This window comes from Homo sapiens, chromosome 11 (genome assembly GCF_000001405.40).
Source record: "Homo sapiens chromosome 11, GRCh38.p14 Primary Assembly".
Lineage (NCBI taxonomy): Eukaryota > Metazoa > Chordata > Mammalia > Primates > Hominidae > Homo > Homo sapiens.
In genome coordinates this window covers 64,205,330-64,224,725 of record NC_000011.10, presented here as the reverse complement: position 1 = coordinate 64,224,725, position 19,396 = coordinate 64,205,330, and the positions used below count along the sequence as shown (strand labels likewise).

The 19,396-nt window shown below is 56.3% G+C and overlaps 2 protein-coding genes across 26 annotated transcripts in view, besides 9 other annotated features; one reads left to right on the top strand and one right to left on the bottom strand.

The window, feature by feature from the left end:
* Nucleotides 1–927, top strand: part of TRPT1 (tRNA phosphotransferase 1) — a 2,459-nt gene extending 1,532 nt beyond the window's left edge. For 6 of the 18 annotated variants that reach the window (XM_006718707.4, XM_005274346.5, XM_017018400.2 and 3 more), the window contains 4 exons: nt 9–183; nt 385–441; nt 513–626; nt 759–927. In XM_006718707.4, coding sequence (XP_006718770.1) covers nt 9–183; nt 385–441; nt 513–626; nt 759–850 — 438 coding nt within the window. In that variant the 3' untranslated portion in view covers nt 851–927. The remainder of the gene's footprint in view (nt 1–8; nt 184–384; nt 442–512; nt 627–758) is intronic. The other 12 variants (XM_024448709.2, XM_024448708.2, XM_047427682.1 and 9 more) reach the window with 4 other exon arrangements.
* FERMT3 (FERM domain containing kindlin 3) lies at nt 835–18,806 on the bottom strand. Of its 8 annotated transcripts, NM_001382448.1 has the most exons (16): nt 18,739–18,806; nt 17,731–17,856; nt 17,202–17,372; nt 13,882–14,115; nt 13,555–13,674; nt 13,283–13,451; nt 12,979–13,081; nt 5,368–5,475; nt 5,068–5,202; nt 4,937–4,986; nt 4,711–4,835; nt 4,400–4,506; nt 4,057–4,290; nt 3,586–3,710; nt 1,537–1,678; nt 835–1,413 (listed from the first exon to the last, which is right to left on the bottom strand). In NM_001382448.1, exons 3-16 carry the CDS (start codon nt 17,359–17,361, stop codon nt 1,234–1,236), a joined length of 1,992 nt encoding a protein of 663 aa, NP_001369377.1. In that variant the 5' UTR covers nt 17,362–17,372; nt 17,731–17,856; nt 18,739–18,806; the 3' UTR covers nt 835–1,233. The 8 variants fall into 8 exon arrangements, with proteins under 8 accessions (NP_001369377.1, NP_848537.1, NP_113659.3 ...); NM_178443.3 differs by lacking the exons at nt 17,731–17,856; nt 18,739–18,806 and adding an exon at nt 17,912–18,005 and having other exon boundaries at nt 4,711–4,847; nt 17,202–17,375; NM_031471.6 differs by lacking the exons at nt 17,731–17,856; nt 18,739–18,806 and adding an exon at nt 17,912–18,005 and having other exon boundaries at nt 17,202–17,375.
* Nucleotides 1,700–1,809: a silencer, noted in NCBI's record as "silent region_3463". NCBI's record gives its function as "represses an Ori minimal core promoter by ATAC-STARR-seq in GM12878 lymphoblastoid cells {active_cell/tissue: GM12878}" and the evidence as "EXISTENCE:reporter gene assay evidence [ECO:0000049][PMID:35858748]".
* Nucleotides 16,157–16,236: an enhancer, noted in NCBI's record as "active region_4888". NCBI's record gives its function as "activates an Ori minimal core promoter by ATAC-STARR-seq in GM12878 lymphoblastoid cells {active_cell/tissue: GM12878}" and the evidence as "EXISTENCE:reporter gene assay evidence [ECO:0000049][PMID:35858748]".
* Nucleotides 16,297–16,416: an enhancer, noted in NCBI's record as "active region_4887". NCBI's record gives its function as "activates an Ori minimal core promoter by ATAC-STARR-seq in GM12878 lymphoblastoid cells {active_cell/tissue: GM12878}" and the evidence as "EXISTENCE:reporter gene assay evidence [ECO:0000049][PMID:35858748]".
* Nucleotides 17,357–17,436: an enhancer, noted in NCBI's record as "active region_4886". NCBI's record gives its function as "activates an Ori minimal core promoter by ATAC-STARR-seq in GM12878 lymphoblastoid cells {active_cell/tissue: GM12878}" and the evidence as "EXISTENCE:reporter gene assay evidence [ECO:0000049][PMID:35858748]".
* Nucleotides 17,757–17,836: an enhancer, noted in NCBI's record as "active region_4885". NCBI's record gives its function as "activates an Ori minimal core promoter by ATAC-STARR-seq in GM12878 lymphoblastoid cells {active_cell/tissue: GM12878}" and the evidence as "EXISTENCE:reporter gene assay evidence [ECO:0000049][PMID:35858748]".
* Nucleotides 18,271–18,833: an enhancer, noted in NCBI's record as "H3K4me1 hESC enhancer chr11:63973365-63973927 (GRCh37/hg19 assembly coordinates)". NCBI's record gives its function as "activates a minimal SCP1, AML or CMV promoter by ChIP-STARR-seq in primed H9 embryonic stem cells {active_cell/tissue: H9 hESC(primed)}" and the evidence as "EXISTENCE:reporter gene assay evidence [ECO:0000049][PMID:30033119]".
* Nucleotides 18,271–19,396: a biological region, named in NCBI's record as "H3K4me1 hESC enhancers GRCh37_chr11:63972802-63973364 and GRCh37_chr11:63973365-63973927".
* Nucleotides 18,737–18,996: an enhancer, noted in NCBI's record as "active region_4884". NCBI's record gives its function as "activates an Ori minimal core promoter by ATAC-STARR-seq in GM12878 lymphoblastoid cells {active_cell/tissue: GM12878}" and the evidence as "EXISTENCE:reporter gene assay evidence [ECO:0000049][PMID:35858748]".
* Nucleotides 18,834–19,396: an enhancer, noted in NCBI's record as "H3K4me1 hESC enhancer chr11:63972802-63973364 (GRCh37/hg19 assembly coordinates)". NCBI's record gives its function as "activates a minimal SCP1, AML or CMV promoter by ChIP-STARR-seq in primed H9 embryonic stem cells {active_cell/tissue: H9 hESC(primed)}" and the evidence as "EXISTENCE:reporter gene assay evidence [ECO:0000049][PMID:30033119]".

The following is a 19,396-nucleotide window of genomic DNA, read 5'->3' as shown; positions in this document are numbered from 1 at the left end:
TCAACCAGGTACCTAAGTTGGAGCTGATGCCCCTGGAGACACCGCAGGCCCTGCCCCCGATGCTAGTCCATGGTACATTCTGGAAGCACTGGCCATCCATCCTACTCAAAGGCCTGTCCTGCCAGGGAAGGACGCACATTCACCTGGCCCCAGGACTGCCTGGAGACCCCGGTATCATCAGTGGTCAGTGCCCTCCCCTCCACCTAGCTACTCCCACCCACTCTGTCCTCCCAGGTCCCCTTCAAAGGTTACAACACTTGTCTGGGGCCACCCCATGTCCGGCATGGAGCAGCACCCCTGCATCCCCCAGCCCAGGACCCCAGTCTGCCTAGGTTGCTGACTGCACTCCAGGTGCCCAGGCCTCAGCTCCAGCTGTCTCTGCAGGCATGCGGTCCCATTGTGAAATAGCTGTGTTCATCGATGGACCCCTGGCTCTGGCAGGTGAGTCTGGACAAAGCAGGAGCTGCCCTTGCCTTCGGGGAGGGCATGAGTCACATCTCTGGCTCTGTCAGCAGATGGAATACCCTTCTTCCGCTCTGCCAATGGGGTGATTCTGACTCCAGGGAATACTGATGGCTTCCTCCTTCCCAAGTACTTCAAGGAGGCCCTGCAGCTACGCCCTACCCGTGAGAACCACCACCCCAGCCCCTATTCCTTGTTCCTGAAAGCTGTGCCCTTCTGCCCTCACCTCTCTCCTAGCTTCCAACCCTAGACTGACTTAGGTGTCCCTTTCTCTAACCAACTCTTGTCTTTATCAGGAAAGCCCCTTTCCTTGGCTGGTGATGAAGAGACAGAGTGTCAGAGTAGCCCCAAGCACAGCTCCAGAGAAAGGAGGAGGATCCAACAATAAAATATTAATTTATAAAAAAGAAATTTTAAAAAGTAACAAGAAAGAACTCGTTTGAAACCATGTTTCATCATCCTGTAGCTACATCTGGTCTTCCTTGTGTGCTGGGGGACTGCAGATAGGTCAGGGGTATCAGCCTCAGCCACTCAGACAAGGAAAGGGGGCACCACATGAGCTCAGGGACCCCCACCCCCATCCCTGGCCTGGGTGATGGTACAGCGTCTGGCCCTGCCAGGTCCTTGGCCTGCACAAAGTCAGTGACAGCAGGTGAAATGCCCAGCTGGGTGCCTGCCTGGAGCGGGTGTGGGGCAGTGAGCCCCTGTGGGTGTGGGCTTGGGAGTGGCTGTGACAGGGTGGTGAGCAGGGCAGGGGCAATCAGACAGCCCTCAGAAGGCCTCATGGCCCCCGGTGAGCTGCAGGAAGAGGTCTTCATCCAGCTCCTCCCCACGGGCCCGCTCCCGCGTCGACAGGAAAATGTAGCCCCCGATATACTCGTGTACAATTCGGCAGCTGGCAGACACGCAGCTGAAGGCCACATTGATGTGTTCATCAAACTCGATGGCCACCTGAAGGGCAGACAGAGGGGCAAATGGTGGGTGGGATAAGGGAGCAGCCCCTGCCCCACCCTGGCTGGATCCAGCTCCGGCCTGCACCTGTCCCCCATCCATATACCCTGGGTCTGGGCCCACCTGCCGGATGTCCCAGTTGACATTCCACTGGCGCATGTTGCTGAAACGCCAGGTCTTGACCACGTCGCCCACGGCCAAGTCGATGCGGATCAGTCGGTTGTTGGCGATGCCCAGGATCTCGTCTTTCCTGCTGCCCTTGAACCTGGCCCCCAGGGAGAGAGAGTGAGCCAGGGCTCCACCCTGCATGGCCAGAGCCCGCCCAGACAATGTGGCGCCGTGCTGGAGAGCCAGCCCTTCCCGACTGCAGCTCACCAGCTGTGTAACCCTGAGCAAGCCATTTGGGTTCCCTGGGCCTCAAGTTCCTCATCTGGTAAATGGGGGTTAATTGATAAAATCCCCACAACAGCATTTAGCAGCATCGGGCAAACAGGCCAAGCCTTTAAATGGTAACTTTTTTTGGTTTTTGTTACCATCCTCATCAACTGCTGTCTCCCTCCCTTCTTTGCAGTCTTGGGAAACAACTAATCAAAGGGGCCCACTCCCCATAACAGCATCCACCGCTAGCCCTGTCTTGCGGACCGGCGAACCCAGGCCCAGACAGTGAACTGTCCACAGCAGAGCTGGAGCAAGAACTGGTTCTTCTGCTCTCCTGACCTGAAATCTCTTTTTTTTTTTTTTTTTTTTTTGAGACGGAGTGTCGCTTTGTTGCCAGGCTGGAGTACAGTGGCTCGATCTCGGCTCACTGCAACCTCCGCCTCCCGGGTTCAAGTGATTCTCCTGTCTCAGCCTCCCGAGTACATGGGATTACAGGTACGTGCCACCACTTGTGGCTGATTTTTGTGTTTTTAGTAGAGACGGGGTTTCACCATGTTGGTCAGGCTGGTCTCGAACTCCTGACCTCATGATCTGCCTGCCTTGGCCTCCCAAAGTGCTGGGATTACAGGCATGAGCCATCGCGCAGGCTCTTTTATTTATTTATTTATTTATTTATTTATTTATTTATTTATTTGAGACTGAGTCTCACTCGTTCGCACCCAGGCTGGAGTGCAGTGGCACAATCTCGGCTCACTGCAACCTCCACCTCCCGAGTTCAAGACATTCTCCTGCCTCAGCCTCCCGAGTAGCTGGGATTATAGGCGCCTGCCACCACACTCGGCTAATTTTTGTATTTTTAGTAGATACAGGGTTTCACCATGTTGGTCAGGCTGGTCTCACACTCCTGACCTCAAATAATCTGCCCGCCTCGGTCTCCCAAAGTGCAAGGATTACAGACGTGAACCACCGTGCCCCGCCTATTTGTTTTTTGTTTTGTTTTGTTTTTTGGAGGCAGAGTTTCGCTCTGTCACCCAGCGTGGAGTGCAGTGGCATGGTCTCAGTTCACTGCAACCTCTGCCTCCTGGGTTCAAGGGATTCTCCTGCCTCAGTCTCCTGAGTAGCTGGGACTACAGGTGCGTGCCACCACACCTGGCTAATTTTTGTATTTTTAGTAGAGACAGGGTTTCACTATGTTGGCCAGGCTGCTCTTGAACTCCTGACCTCGTGATCTGCCCGCCTCGGCCTCCCAAAGTGCTGAGATTACAGGTGTGAGCCACCATGCTTGGCCCAGCCTATTTATTTTTGAGACAGAGTCTCGCTTTGTCACCCAGGCTGGAGTGCAGTAGTGTGATCACGGCTCACTGCAGTCTTGACCTCCCAGGCTCAAGAGATCCTCCCACCTCAGCCTCCTGAGTAGCTGGACTACAGGTGACCACCACCATGCCCAGGTAATTTTTTACAATTTTTTGTAGAGACGAGGGACTTTCTGTGTTGCCCAGGCTGGTCTCAAACTCCTGGGTTCAAGTGATCCTCCTATCTCTGCCTCCCAAAGTGCTGAGATTACAGGCATGAGCCCCAGTACCTGGCGTGAGCTTTGTCTCTTATGTTTGTTGTGGAGGGACAGCATGAGGGGCACACATGGGGCCCTCAGTAAGGCCTGCTTACAAAGAACAAGGGAAGGGAGTCTTTGGGGTGCCTGTCCAGAACCTACTCTTGGGATGTGGGCACACAGCAGCCGGGTGGCAGGTGAGGGCAGAGACGGTGCTGGGCAGGGGGCTGGGCCAGGGGCCATACCTGACCATGACATAGGAGATGCCGAAGTCGGGCAGGGACTGCCAGGCCTGGATGAAGCGCAGCTGGGCCTCTGCCAGCGACAACTGGGCCACATTCTGGTGGGCTTCCAGGATCCGTGGGGTGAGCTGCGGGACCATACTGGTGACGGGCTGCCAGGCACTATTCCCCTCCTCCAGAGTCACCGAGCCCCCACCTCCCCATCAGGGTGACAGCATGTGAGCCTGGGAAGGGGCAGTGCCCACGTGGGGCCGCCAAGGTGCAGATCTGCACTGCGCCAGGCTGCAAGGTGGACATGGGCACCTGGACCGTGACTCCTCCCAAAGGGTGGGTACCAGCCGCACAATCTCAGGGACACAGTGGGAGAAGCCCAGTGAGTACGTAGCTTTCCTGAGGAAGGCTCTGTGGAGACCCAGGGGTCAGAGGTCTCTGGGTAAACACTATGCTCATTCCCACCCTGACGCCTTCTGGTACCTGCTTGGCCTTGAACTTTCGCTGGAAACGGGGGGCAACGAGGCCGTAGGGGTTGAGGCCCTCGGCAGAGGCATCAGGGCCGTGGGGGTGGTTGCCCGGGCCCCCACTGCCCGTGCGCTGCAGGCTGAGGAAGGCCAGGATGGCCTGCACCTCGCTGGTGTAGCTGCTGTCGGCCATGGTGCGGCCTTTGGAGGCCAGGCGGCAGCCAGCCATCCAGCGGGCATACTGCTGCTCCTGGGCGAGAGGGGTGAGGGGGACAGTGCTAACCAAGCTTGATGCTCCTCAGCCCCTGCCCCTGCCCCAGCTCCTGCCCGGCCCTGGCCCCTGCCCAGCCCTCACTCACATCCTGGCACCGCAGGTAGATCTCACTCATGCCCTCAGGGGAGGGCACTAGGAGTTTAATGCAGAACTTCTGGCCGGAGACGTTAACATCGGGAACCACCTCACAGCCTGGAGGGAGAGAAGGGGTGGTCTAGGAGGTCGGGAGGGGAAGAGCCGCCTGAGGTCCTGGAGTGCATCCTAGCCCACACCGTCACCTCAGGACAGAGGGCATCTTCCCCGGTCTCCAGGAGGAAACAGGGCCGGTGAGAGCATTCACCTGCCTAGCCCACAAGTGGGGATCCCCCCACCCAGCCCCTGGCCCTGTGCACTTACCCTTGAGGTTGAGCTGCTGAATGGGGTCCCCAGGGGCCTCGTCCTGGCTCTTGTAGTAGGACAGTGTGGTCTCCTTGAACACCACCCAGTGTTGGCGGTAGCCCTTCAGGGTCAGCTTCCGGGGCCTTCGTGGGATGCTGGGGTTTGTGAAAGGCCGCCTCACCCCCTCCCTCCATATGCAGACCAACCCCTCCAGCAGGGCTGCCTACTCTGGCCCCCAACTCACCGAAAGATTCGGAGATGGTCCTTGAGCTCTGGGATGGTGGTGAGGCTGTCCTATGGGAGGACCAGAGTCAGAGGGGCACCCGGTACCTCACAGTTCTCCCTGCCCAGCCCCTGCCCTGAGCCCCTCCTCACCAGCACATCTGTGGGCGCCGACCCCTCCAGCTTCACCTCCAGGTTGCTCAGGGCCACATCCAGGTCGTCCAGCCCTGGGTCTGTGCCAGCCGGCTCCCCCACCTCCCCGCTCTGGGACAGCTTGTTGATGTGGTACTAGGTGGTCATGAAGCCAGGGAGGGCTGAGTCCAGCAGCCTGGTCCCCTAGCAGTACCCCCAGGCCGGGCTTCCCTGGAGGTAGCCCCCACTCAGGAAGGCCCTTCCTGCCCTGGGACTGGCTCACCTCCCACCTGCCCTGGTGCCCCCAGGCCCGCCTGGTACCTGCAGGGCGGCAAACACCATCATCTCCTCCTCGGTGCAGTCAATCTCCTCCAGCAGCAGGTCCCACCGGGCCTGCTCATACAGCTGTGTCAGCCGCACGGGGTCTGTCTGGAGCGGGGGGAGAGGAGGCTGGAGGCTGGGCTGGTCAGATGCCAGCTGCCCTGGACGCCCTGCACTGAGCCCCTGCCAGCCTTGGCCCTCTGCCCTGCCCTCCTTGCTGAGGCAGATTCATTCAGTGGCCAGACATGGGCCACAGACCTCAACCCCATCCTTAATAGCCTGCTAGCCCCCTGCTGCCCAGGCCTGCACGTCTAAACCTTGGCTTGGTTGTGCTGATGTTTACTGTGTGCTGGCATGCTGCCCTGGGTGCAGGAGAGACCGAGTAAACCAATCAATAAGTCAAATAATCCAAGGCTGCAATAAACACTATCAAGGAAACAGTTTCCACAGGGAAGCTCACATGAGCCCTCAGTCTAAGGCCCCCCCAAGTTCAATGGAGATGACAGAATGGAACATGGGGAAGCAGTCAGGGAAGGCTTCCCTGAGGAGGTGACAAGCTGAGTAGAGATAGGAAGGATGACAGTGGGCCACTCAAGGGAAGCGTGAAGGAAGAGGATTCCAGAGAAAAGGAACTGGGAAGGCAGAGACTCCAAGAGGGGATCCCAGTTACCCACAGAAGACCAACAATCCCGCTGAAACTCACCCAAAATTGATAGCAAAGGTTTAGGAAGATAAACCCAAAAGGACAAAGGACAGGCCGGGGCGGTGGCTTGCGCCTGTAATCCCAGCACTTTGGGAGGCCAAGGCAGGCAGATAGCTTGAGCCCAGGAGTTTCAGACCAGCTTGGGCAACATGGTGAAACCCTATCTCTACTAAAAATACAAAAAATTAGCCACATGAGGTGGTGCGTGCCTGTAGTCCCAGGTACTCAGGATGCTGAGGTGGGAGAATCACCTGAACCCATGAGGTTGAGGGTGCAGTGAGCTGTAATTGCACCATTGCACTCCAGCTTGGGGGATAGAGTGAGACCTTGTCTCCAAAAGAAAGAAAAAGAAGGCCAGGCGCAGTGGCTCACGCCTGTAATCCCAGCACTTTGGGAGGCCGAGGTCGGTGGATCACGAGGTCAGGAGATCAAGACCATCCTGGCTAACACAGTGAAACCCTGTCTCTACTAATAATACAAAAAAATTAGCCAGGCGTGGTGGCGGGCGCCTGTAATCCCAGCTACTCAGGACGCTGAGGCAGGAGAACGGCGTGAACCCGGGAGGCGGAGCTTGCAGTGAGCCGAGATCGTGCCACTGCACTCCAGCCTGGGCGACAGAGCGAGACTCCGTCACAAAAAAAAAAAAAAAAAAAAAGGAAAAAGGAAATAATTTGGAAGATGGAGAGCAAACTGTAGATGGGAACTGGGTTATGCAGAGAGCGCTAGGGCCTCACGCCTTGTCCCTCTCCTGTCTGGTAAATCCACCAATGAGACTTGAAAATAGGCGGAAAGCAATCAGCAAAAAGAACAGAGATCTCAACAGAGGCATCCAGTTTGCATGGCGGACCCCTGGCAGGCTCTGATGGGGATCCTCTGGATGAGATGCGAGGGTGAGCTGAAGAGAGGACTCTGGATAAAGTCCAAGAAAAAAAGCAGGTCCCTCCCCAGCTCCATGCAGCCAAGTGATGGCAAGGAGACACCTGGCAGAAGCTGGGACTCACTCTCTGGAGATGCTGAGCCAGATGCACCCCTGCATTTGGTACCCCAGACACAGCTGGACGGGGTGGGGGTTGCACTAGGGTGAAAACAGACAATTTTTTTTTTTTAAGATGGAGTTTTGCTCTTGTTGCCCAGGCTGGAGTACAATGGCACGATCTTGGCTCACCGCAACCTCCGCCTCCCGGGTTCAAGCGATTCTCCTGCCTCAGCCTCCTGAGTAGCTGGGATTACAGGCATGCACCACCACGCCCAGCTACTTTTGTATTTTTAGTAGATACAGGCTTTCTCCATGTTGATCAGGCTGGTCTCAAATTCCTGACCTCAGGTGATCCACCTGCCTTGGCCTCCCAAAGTGCTGGGATTACAGGCGTGAGCCACCGTGCCCGGCAAAAACACAAATTTAAAGAAAGCTGGCATTCAGATGAGTGACACACCCACACCCTTTCCCACTTGTCACCCAAGACATTGGCAGGAAGCCTTCTATCTCCAGTTGAAAGATCAGTGGGGTTGCCACTGAGAGGCTGAGCCACCAGAGAAATGCCCGACAAAGAGTGGCAGCCCGGCCCCATCGCCTCCAGGGGGCCACCAAGATGCCAAGCCCTACTCACACACTCAGGGTCTCCAATTGGTTTCTTAGAGCTTCACTTTTAAATATGAATGGACAGGCATGGACTACCCACATTTAAGGAAAGCTTCAAGAGTGAACCATAGAGACCAAGACAACAAGAATAAAACAGCTTGGAGGAAATAAAGGCCAGGTAGGGCGCAGAAGAGAACTTCAAACGTGAATCAAAATCCTTGTAGAGTACAAAAATTAGCTGGGCATGGTGGCACCCGCCTTTTTTTTTTTTTTTTTTTTTTGAGATGGAGTCTCGCTCTGTCACCCAGGCTGGAGTGCAGTGGCGTGATCTCGGCTCACTGCAAGCTCCGCCTCCCAGGTTCACGCCATTCTCTTGCCTCAGCCTCCCAAGTAGCTGGGACTACAGGCGCCCACCACCACGCCCGGCTAATTTTTTGTATTTTTAGTAGAGACAGGGTTTCACCGTGTTAGCCAGGATGGTCTCGATCTCCTGACCTCATGGTCCGCCCTCCTTGGCCTCCCAAAGTGCTGGGATTACAGGCGTGAGCCACCGCGCCCGGCGAAAAAATCCTTATAGAGGCTGGGCCCGGTGGCTCACGCCTGTAATCCCAGCACTTTGGGAGGCTGAAGCGGGCAGATCACGAGGTCAGGAGTTTGAGACCAGCCTGGCCAATGTGGTGAAACCCCGTCTCTACTAAAAATACAAAAATAATTAGGCCAGGCGTGGTGGTGCATGCCTGTAATCCCAGCTGCTCGGAAGGCTGAGGCAGGAGAATGGCTTGAACCAGGGGGGCAGAGGTTGCAGTGAGCCGAGATCTTGCCATTGCACTCCAGCCTGGGTGACAGAAGAAGACTCCATCTCAAAAAAAAAAAAAAAAATCCTTACAGAGCTAAAGCACTGCACTCATAAATCAAGACCAGAATATTCTTTTTTTAAAGGAATGTAACTGGGCGCAGTGGCTCACGCGTGTAATCCTAGCACTTTGGGAGGCCGAGGCGGGCGGATCATTTGAGGTCAGGAGTGTGAGACCAGCCTGACCAACATAGTGAAATCCTGTCTTTACTAAAAATACAAAAATTAGTTGGGTGTGGTGGCAGATGCCTATAATCCCAGCTACTCAGGAGGCTGAGGCAGGGGAATCTCTTGAACCCGGGAGGCGGAGGTTGCAGTAAGCCGAGATCGTACCACTGCACTCCAGCCTGAGTGTGACAGAGTGAGACTCCGTCTAAAAAAAAAAAAAAAATCCCAACTTCTCAGGAAGCCGAAGCGGGAGGATAACTTGAGACCCAATCTGGGCAACGTAGCAAAACTCCATCTCTAAACAATTTTTAAAGAATTAGCCAGGCTTGTGGCACATGCCTGTAGCCCCAGCCACTCAGGAAGCTAAGGCAGGAAGATTGCTTGAGCCCAGGAGTTCAAGGTTGCAGTGAGCTATGATCGCACCACTGCACTCTAGTCTGGGTGACAGAGCGAGACCCCATCTCTAAAAATAAAAAAAGAAAGATAAAAATATAAATTTGGTTCTATTAAAATAAAGAGCTGCTGTTTATGAAAAGAAACCATTCAGACAATTAAAAGGCAAAGCACAGAGGGGGAAAATATATTCACAATGTATTTATCTGGCAAAGTGCTCATATCCAGAATATATAAAGAACTCCTACAAATCAATAAGAAAAAGACAAACGACTCAATATGACAATTGTCAAAATGTTTGAACAGAAACCTCACAAAGCAGGATATCCAGATGGCTAATAGCCTTATGAAAAGGGACTCAACTTTATTAGTCATCAGGGAAATGTAAATTAAAGCCACATGGAAAGCAGATCAGTGGTGGTCGGGGTGTGGGAGGAGGAATGACTGCAAATGGGCATCGTGCAATCAGTGCTTGTCTGGGGCAGTGGAAATGTTCTAAAACTGGATTGTGGTGATGGTTGCACAACCATACACATTTGTTAAAAATAAGCTGAGCCGGGCGTGGTGGCTCATGCCTGTAATCCCAGCACTTTGGGAGGCCAAGGCAGGTGGATCACCTGAGGTCAGGAGTTCGAGACCAGCTTGGCCAACATGGTGAAATCCCATCTCTACTCAAAATACAAGAAGAAATTAGCTGGGCATGGTGGCGGTGGGCATCTGTAATCCCAGCTATGTGGGAGGCTGAGGCAGGAGAATCGCGTGAACCCAGGAGGCAGAGGTTGCAGTGGGCCGAGATCACGCCATTGCACTCCAGCCTGGGCAACAAGAATGAAACTCCCTCTCAAAAAAAAAAAAACCCTATAAAAGAACACTCAAAAAACAAGAGCTCTTGGAACTTAAAAATATAGTTACAGAAATTAAAAATTCAATAGATATTTTAGAAGATAAGTTGAAGAGGTCTCCGGAGAGTAGGACACAGAAAGAAAAAGAACCGAAAAATAAGAAAGAAAAGTGTAGGCCAGGCATGGTGGCTCACGCCTGTAATCCCAGCATATTGGGAGGTTGAGGCAGGTGGATCGCCTGAGGGCAGGAGTTTGAGACCAGCCTGACCAACATGGTGAAACCCCATCTCTACTAAAAATACAAAAAATTAGCCAGGCGTGGTGGTGGGCGCCTGTAATCCCAGCTACTAGGGAGGCTGAGGCAGGAGAATCGCTTGAATCCGGGAGGCGGAGGTTGCAGTGAGCCAAGATCACACCATTGCACTCTAGCCTGGGCAACAAGAGCGAGACTCCATCTCAACAACAAAAATAGATAAATAAATACAGTTAGCTGGGCATGGTGGCGCGTGCCTGCAGTCCCAGCTACTTGGGAGGCTGAAGCAGGAGATCGCTTGAATCCGCGAGGTGGAGGTTGCAGTGAGCTGAGATTGTGCCATTGTACTCCAGCCTGGGCAACAAGAGCAAAACTCATCTCAAAAAAAAAAAAAAAAAAGGCAATTATGAACTTCAAAACCATTTGAGCAAAAAGGGAAAAAATAATCATAGTTACTCTGTGGCTTAACTAGGAACACTATTTATATGTGTTACTATTTACAGCCATATCACATTGTTTTAACCAAAGACTACAGACACTACTCACTTAGAAAGAGGCAAGGAAATGTGTGTATTGTGTGGGCAGGGAAGAGAATGTAAGACAGTGAAACCTTCTTACAAAGTCAATAGATAATGTGTGAAATGGCAAAACAAAGAAGTGGAAATATGTCATAGAGAAGAAAACACTAGAATAAAAAGGCACAGCTGGCCCGACGCCGTGGCTCACGCCTGTAATCCCAGCACTTTGGGAGGCCAAAGTGGGCAAATCACCTGAGGTCAGGAGTTCGAGACCAGTCTGACCAACATGGAGAAACCCCGTCCATCTCTACTAAAAATACAAAATTAGCTGGGCATGGTGGCTCAACGCCTGTAATCCCAGCTACTCGGGAGGCTGAGGCAGGAGAACTGCTTGAACCCAGGAGGCGGAGGTTGTGATGACCTGAGATCACGTCATTGCACTCCAGCCTGGGCAACAAGAGCAAGACTCCATCTCAAAAAAAAAAAAAAAAAAATTAGGCCAGGCGCAGTGGCTCGCTCCTATAACCCCAGCACTTTGGGAGGCTGAGGCGGGTGGATCACCTGAGGTCAGGAGTTCGAGACCAGCCTGACCAATATGGTGAAACTCCATCTCTACTAAAAAAATACACTCCTATTACCCCAGCAATTTGGGAGGCTGAGGCGGGTGGATCACCTGAGGTCAGGAGTTCGAGACCAGCCTGACCAATATGGTGAAACTCCATCTCTACTAAAAAAATACACTCCTATAACCCCAGCACTTTGGGAGGCTGAGGCAGGTGGATCACCTGAGGTCAGGAGTTCGAGACCAGCCTGACCAATATGGTGAAACTCCATCTCTACTAAAAAAATACAAAAATTAGCCAGGCCCACACCTGTAATCCCAGGAGAATTGCTTGAACCCAGGAGGAAGAGGTTGCAGTGAGCCGAGATTGCACCACTGCACTCTAGCTTGGGCAACAGAGCAAGACTCCATGTCAAAAAAAAAAAAAAAATTAGCCAGGTATAGTACACGCCTATCGTCCCAGCTACTTGGGGAGCTGAGGCTTAAGGATCACATGACCCTGGGAGGTCCAGGCTGCAGTTAGCCGGGATAACACTACTGCCCTCCAGTCTGGACAACAGAGCAAGACTGTGTCTCAAAAAATAAAAATAAATAAATATATAAATAAATAAAGCTTAGGAGAGAGACATCTGAGCTGGAGATGATCAGCTGGGAGAGAGTGTGGAGATGGTATTGAAATCCACAAGACTGGAGATGACTGAGAGAAGGAGAGGAGAGAGCAGAGGCCCAGAGCAGAGCCTGGGGCAGAGCCTGGGGCTCACCAACACCGAGAGGCCATGGAGAGGAGGAGGGAACATCACAGAGCCTGGCAGAGTGGCTTGGGGAGAGGCCACCCCCCAAGCAAGTGTACAGGAGGCTTCAGGAGGAAGATATTCTGGAGGAGTGGTCGGGGTGGTGTCTATGCTGCAAGTAAGTGGTCAAGTAAGAAGCGGGTGGGACATGGCCAGGGAACAGATAGCCTGGAGACGTGGCCACCTCAGCAGGTGCACTTCTCACGTGTGGATGGTGTCAAAATATATAGAATAGCCATGGCCAAGGAGTGAGAGGGAGTCGAACAGCACCCAGAGAAAGCTTGGAAGCAAGAAGTGGGATTCTGCGGAGCAAGCGTTCAGACAACTACGATGTTTTGCAGAGAAAGGGGGCAGAGAGGTGGGGCCTACAGGTAGAAAGAGCAACCTGTGGACTTCTGGGAAGTTTTTGAGATGTGCGCGAAGCACATTGCATGGAGCATTTTGCCTGGAGCATGTTGGTTGCCAATGGAGGAAGGGAGGAAGAGTGAACAGGGCACAGAGGGGCCACCCTGCAAAGCTTCCTTCCTCACCCACCCCCAGGTCCTGCAGTCCCTAATGGTGCCCCCTCCAGGAAGCCTTCCCAGAGCTCCCAGGCTTGGGCCTCTCCCACCTGAGCCCCAGACTTCTCAGGGGCACCCACACACACACTGTCTATGAGGATCTGTGGGTCTTAGCTTCCTCCCTGACAGCTCCCTGGGAAACAGGCACTGAGACTTACTGGTCTTCATCCGCTTCAGCATCTGCCCGGGGCCCAGGACCTGGCCTGATGCTGAGGTGAGTAGATGAGTTTCAGTGGGTGTTTGTGGGGTCAGTAAACAAAGGTGTGGATGGACAAACGGGCAGACGGACAGGCCACTACAAGTCACTAACATCCCAGAGCCCATACCCCAGGCCCTAGGTCTCCACATCTCATGGACCTGAGGCCCGCTTTCTCCCTGCCCCGACCCACCTTGGGATCCAAATCGAAGAAGCTGTAGTACTTGAAGCGCAGCCAGAGTGCGTCCCCGGCCTTGATGCCCTGCTGCATGAGACACCGCGACGAGTCCAGCCACCTGGGCCGCGGCAGAAGCAGCAGTCAGGGCTGCGCCAGGTACGGCCGTGGGGTGGGGAGGGGGGCTGGGCTGGGGGGACAAGCACACACAGAGAAAAGGCCTGGAAACGAAGTGTGGATCTGGGGTGGGCACAGACACGGGACAGGGGGTGGATCCTGGGTGGGGGAGCCCTGACACAGGGGGCGTGGCTCCTGGGTGCACCTGCTGTGGAGCTGGGTCTTGTCTGACAGGGAGCTGGGCCGTGGCAGACGCTGGAGCAGGAGGGGGTCGGGTGGCGGCTGGGGCCGGCTCAGCATGTGGTAGCAGGCCTCAGTCTGGGCGCTGTCCGAGAAGTGAGCTGGCATCCCCCGGAACAGTGCAGGTGCCACGCCTGGAGTGCAGGTTGGGAGTCAACCAGGCCTGTCCCCCAGGGCTGGGACTCACGGGCCGGCCCCTGCCCCCAACCCCCCAGGCCCACCCCCACTTGCACTCACCCCCAGCCAAGACAACCTTGCTCAAGTCATAGAGCTCTTCCTCTGGCTCCTTCTCTTTCTTCTTCTTCTCCTTCTTCTCAGGAGCCCGGAGCAGGGACAGCTCCTCGGGGTGCCGGATGCCTGAGGGGAGCTAGGGTCTCAGCGGGGACTAGGTCCTGCTGCAGCCTCCCCACCTCACCCATGGGTGCTTGGGGCGGGTCACAGCCCTGCAGGCAGGGTGGCAACCCAGACAGCAAGGACAGCGTCAACAGAGCTGGGCCTGGAAACGGGGGAACCTGCCTCTTTGCATCACCCTCGTGGGCCAGGGGAATCAGCCGGGCAACTTACTGAGGAGGCGGCAGATGGCAGCCACAGCCTGGAAGAGGGGCTGGGAGAAGCTGGCACGGAGGCGCAGTGCGCGGCGGTTGGGCAACCGAAGGATGACGGGCCGGTGCTGGGGCCCAAAGAAGAGGCGTGCGTCGGCCAGGATCCCGTACTTGTCCAGTGTCCAGTGGGTCTGCAGCAGCCACTGCCTCTTCTGTTCCCACCAAATAGCATGGTCTGACCAGTCCTGCTTGCGATCTGTGGGGCACGGGGGCACATCTGGGTCCAACCTTCCTCCCTGGTGCCCCCAACACCCAGCACAACCCCAGGATTCAGAAGCCTGGGGCGACCACTCCCCTGCCCTGCCTAAGCCAAGAGTGGGGCAGCCTGGGCGGGCCTGGGGTCTACCCCATGGTAACAGCAGCAGGGCTCTCTGCAGGCAGCCCCTGATTTGGCCTTCTAGGCTTGGCTTCTATATCGCTTCCCAGGGGAGCTCTCCAACCCAGCATCTGAGTGCCCCAATCTTAGCGCCCCATCTCTTGCATTCCAGCCCACTGGGCTCCCTCCACATGACGCCCCCTCTGTCCTCCCATAATCCACGGTTTAACAGCCTCTGTCTTGCATTCTGGGGAGCTCCTGGAGGCAGAGACTACGTCTGTCTCACCGTTGTATGTCCTCAGGGCCTGGACCTGTGCCTGGCCTGGAGCAGTGAGCACTCAATATTTTTAGCTATTAGCTGTGTGACCTTGGACAAGCCACTTAACCTCACTGGGCCTCAGTTTCCCTGTAAGATACAATAACGATCTTACAAACTGGGACACGGAACAAGGCCTCCCATGTGGTAGCTGCAGGGTTTGCAGCAAACTTGTGCACGCACATGACGATCCATGAGTGAGCATTGAATTAGAGATGTGCGTCTGTCCCTTGTCAGCCAGCTGGGAACTGGAGTTACAGTAATGGAAGGCACAGGTCTCCCCGCCTCCTCCCTCCAGGAGCATGAACAGGTGGGAGAGAGCATAGGAAAAAGGCTGCCGGAAAGCTGCTCTGGGCACACAGCCCTTGAGAGTTTGCAAAGCCCTGTTTCCTGAGTTCCTCCCAGGTCCTCCCGGTGAGTTTTCTGATTCCCACTGCATCCCACCCACCTCAGCCAGCCCCCAACCCCACTGCTGCACATGCCGGGCATCACCACTGCTGCCAAACCAAGAGAAGCGCTCGTCCTCCGGCACTTCCCCTCCCAGGCTGGGCCCTTCCCTCCTGGGCACCCCAGTGGGACTCTGGCTGTGTGCCGCCGCATCCCCTTGTCTTGGCTCCTTGCTCTTCTCCTGTCCTCTCTGGCCCCTCTCCGGTCCCTCTCCTGACCGGCCCCTTACCTTGTCCTTTCCCCAGGTTCGGCCTGGGACCCTCTTCTCCTGCCTCGGCCAGGTCCCCTTACTGGGTCTCCCTATTCTGTGGTTTCAGTTGCCATTTTCTGCTGCCTCCCCATGCGTGGCCCTCGGCCCAGACCCTGCCCTGGGCCCCCAGCCAGAAACCCATGTGCTGCCAGCTGAGGGGCCTGTCCACCGGCTTCCTCCTTTCCAGAACCCTCTGTTCCTGTGGCCGAGTGGCTGACACTGGGACTGTAAGCACCATGACTCCTGGTCTCGGCTTTTGGAGCTCAGCTCAGACTCGCTGTGCACAGAGGTGCCCTCTCCTAGCCAGCTCCCCCTCCTCACCAGCTCCCTACACCACCTCTCAGGGCTGGGGGACACGGACTCGCGCCAAAGGCCCAGGCATCCTCCCTTTCTCTTCTAGCCACCACATGTAATCAATGCCAATCCCACCTCTAAAATCCACCCTCCTCTCCATCCTCCCTGCCCGGCCTTAGGAGGCCCTGGTGTCTCTAACCAGGACCACAGCCTCCTCAGGGGCCTGCCGCCACCAGCCTTTCGCCTTGCTGCTGACCTTAGCAGGACAGCCTCCTGCTGAGAACCCTTCGGTGGCCACCTTCCCCTCCAGAAGAAAGTCTAGACCCCTTCTGGAGGCCTTCGGGGCCATGCAGAGCTGGCCAGGCACCAGCCAGCCTCATTTCTGGTCACGCTCCCAGCATCCTCACCAGCCGAGAGCCCTAATTCACAGCCCTCCGAGTCCCAGCGCCACCACCTTGCTCCTCCCTGCTGAGGCCACCTCTCAGGACTTCTCCTGGGGTTATCCCCATCCTGGGCTCGGGGCAGCCCCCTCCTCTGGCTCCAGGCCCCCATGATAGCGCCCTCTGTGCGGCAGCCGGCACGCAGCCCCCATGGGTCAGTCTCACCCGCTGCTGCTCCAGGAGGCCAGGGACTGGCCCGGGGCGGCCAGGCTGAGCATCAGTAGACAGAGCTGATGTGCTTAGGAGTGACAGTATCCCCACCACAGGGAACACAGAGCTAAAGGAACTTGCCCTGGGGTGCCCAGCAGCGGGTAGAGCAGCGGGGTCTGTCTGACTCCAGGTTAAGGCCTCCTGCGTTACCCTCATGCCGTGCCCTGGGGCCACCCAGGTCTTCACCACCCTCTCTCTGTTCCTCACTTCTATTCTCACAGCTGCTCCGGGCCCTGCCCCTGGCAGCTCCCCTCACAGCCTCAGTCTTGTGGCCGGGCCGTTCTGGACCCTATCCTCTCCACAGTCGGACTGACCTCCTCCTGTGCTGCACATGGTGGCCTGGCGGGGTCTGAGGAAGCCTCCCCACCATCACCCACCCCCCACCCACTGGCAGCCCAGGCCCAGGCTCTTGGCCGGGACTGTGGTGGGCCTGTCTTCCGGCTCTGCCTATCGGGGTCTTCCTGCTGCTCTCTCAGGAAGGGGTAGCCCCCACCCCCGGCAGGGAAGGAAGATGAGGAGCCCCCGTGTCACTAGCCCCGTGGTCCTCCATGACTGATACCACAGCTGCTCTGCTGTAACTTCCTGTGGGGGCAGGGCCTTCCCACCCAGGCTGGGCCTGTCACCAACCTGCTCAAAGCTTCCGCCAAGGGGAGGGAGCGTGGGGGCAGGCCCCTGGGTCACCTAGACCCCCTCAGACCTCAGCAATGTGACTTCAGCCTCGGCCCAGACAAGACCACTCCTTCTGCCCCTATTGGTGGCTGAATGGAGGATTGTGGCTGCGTCTGATCCTTAGCAGACCAGCTGCAGCAGAAGGGAGGGAGGGAAGAGGGTGGGAGGGAGAGGAAGTTGGGGAAATGTCTTTTTTGGAACCAAATGATTAAGCTAATGCCTGAGTCACCGTGACACCATTATCGGGAGCTGAGCAGCAGGGATGGCCCGGAAGTGCCCAGAGACACCCGTGGCGGCCGCCCATGGTGCCGAGTTCAGCAAGCGGGCAGCGGACACTCACTGATCTGCTCCACAATCTTCAGGAGCACCCCGCCGATGTGCGACTCCCCAGTGACCCGCAGGGTGACCGACTCGGCCTCTGGGTCCTCCTCTCCCACAAACACCCGCAGCTCCCATGACGAGTCGATGTAGTCCCCGGAGGCTGTCTTCATCCCCGCCATGGCTGCGGCTGCTGCTACAGAGAGTGTGGAAGGAGGCAAGGTGGGCAGGCCCTGGTAGGCCTCCGGGTTTGGGCAGAAGAGCTCTGTGATGCCCTGGACACACCCAGAGGAAAGCCGCTCATGAAGGAGGGCGGGAGTGAGCACCCAGGCCAGCACGCCCGTGGTACCCTCAGACTCTCTCTCCAGCGCTGGCGCTTGAGCCGCGAGGGCCCTCAGAGACCATGTAGTCCAATCCGCTCCCATCCTACAGGCGGGCAGACTGAGGCCGGGTAAGAAGGGGCTCACTCAGGACCACCGTGCTCAATGCCAGCCCACAGCTCACTCCCAGACCCTCAGGGGCAGCTGCCCACTCTGGCCATGGCTTCGTACCCAGGCCAGGAAGTAGTTCCGATCCTGGCCCACAGCTCAGATGCCAACATCACAAACCAGCCAAAGCCTCTCCGGGGAGGTGGAAAGTTCAGGCTGCCGCATGGCGAGAGGCAGGCTGGGCAGAGGCTGCAGGAGGATAAGGAAGAGAAGGGCCCAGGGTCCCAGTGAGGCCTGAGCTTACCTTTCCTGGCAAGGGCTGGGGGCTGCAGGTGGGTCTCGGGCTACACCCCTGTGGGCCGTGGGCTTCCTGCCCTCCTTTCTCTTTGGAGCTTCCTTCAGGGCAGCCCTTGCTTGTGCCTTATCACGAGCAGGGCGGGTTCAGCCCCTCCCCAGGGCGGGCTGGCGCTGGGTGCAGGAAGCACACTGCCAGCCCACAGAGGGTTCCAGGGGCCCCCCCACCTTTGTCCCCAGAGAGCACAGGAAGCTAGGGAGAGCGGGGCTTAGCGACTCAACACCATAAAAACGCCCCCTTCCTCATTTGGAGGGAAGCTCAGTGCAAACTCAACAAGTCCCCCGGCTGTGTGTGTTCAGGGCTAGGTCCACTTTTGTGGGAAGTGTCTGCCATCCTCAGCCTGTCACATGAGGTGGGGACCTTGGGCTTTGAAACATCACTGGGCTGCCGGAGGGAGAGCCCAGGAGTCGACAGAGTGTATCCAGGTTATTTGGGACTCACAGGTTAAATCGGCTCCAGCCTGGCTATCCCTATCAACCAAGGATCCCTCAAGGCCCCAGAGGGAAACAAGTCCATTTTGCAGTTTTTCCTAGCTCCGCGTAGGGCTACCTTCAAACTCATGAACTCAGACCTGCCAGGTGAACAAGTGAACAGTACTTGGCCCAGACCATCCACAACCTCCCGGGCCCTCAGGTCACCCAGCTCCAAACACGACCCCTCCACTGTGCTCCACTTGGATGAGCCTCCCCGAGTCCCCACGAGGCTCACTCCCATCAAGTCCCTGCTTAGGTGACACCTCAGGGGTCTCTGGTGGTCTATACCCTCCTGCTCATCACCTGCCCTAGGATGTGGACTTCAGTAGAGCAAGGCACGTCCGCCACCAGCTCTGCGCAGGACAGCGGCCTTTCCAGTGAACACACTGGGGTTGGAGCATGCAGGGTGGGCAAGCCTGGGGGCGGCAGAGTCCTGCCAATGGGGGAGGCTACCTGAGCATCGCCACTCAGATGGGGAAGGGGGCGGCCTGCCGGGGATTCCCAGGGGAAAAGAAAGCTGATGAAACTAACAGCAGGAAGTCCAGCCAGCTGCTAGTCTCAGCGCCTTCCTAGCCCAGAAAGCAGCACTCTTGGAGCAAATGAGGAAGTTTTACTCCTGCCCCAAAGGCCTCCCCAGTCCAGGAAGAGAGCTTTAGAAAACGCAGCTTGTTGCAACCATGGAAAAGTGTAATTAAAGCTTAGCACCCTAAGTTCTCAGGTAAGAGCCGTGCATTAAAACCATCACCCAGGCCGGGCGCGGTGGCTCACGCCTGTTAACCCCAGCACTTTGGGAAGTCCAGGCGGGTGGATCACGAGGTCAGGAGATTGAGACCATCCTGGCTAACACGGTGAAACCCCGTCTCTACTAAAAATACAAACAAACAAACAAACAAAAAATTAGCCGGGCGTGGTGGCGGGCGCCTGTAGTCCCAGCTACTCGGGAGACTGAGGCAGGAGAATG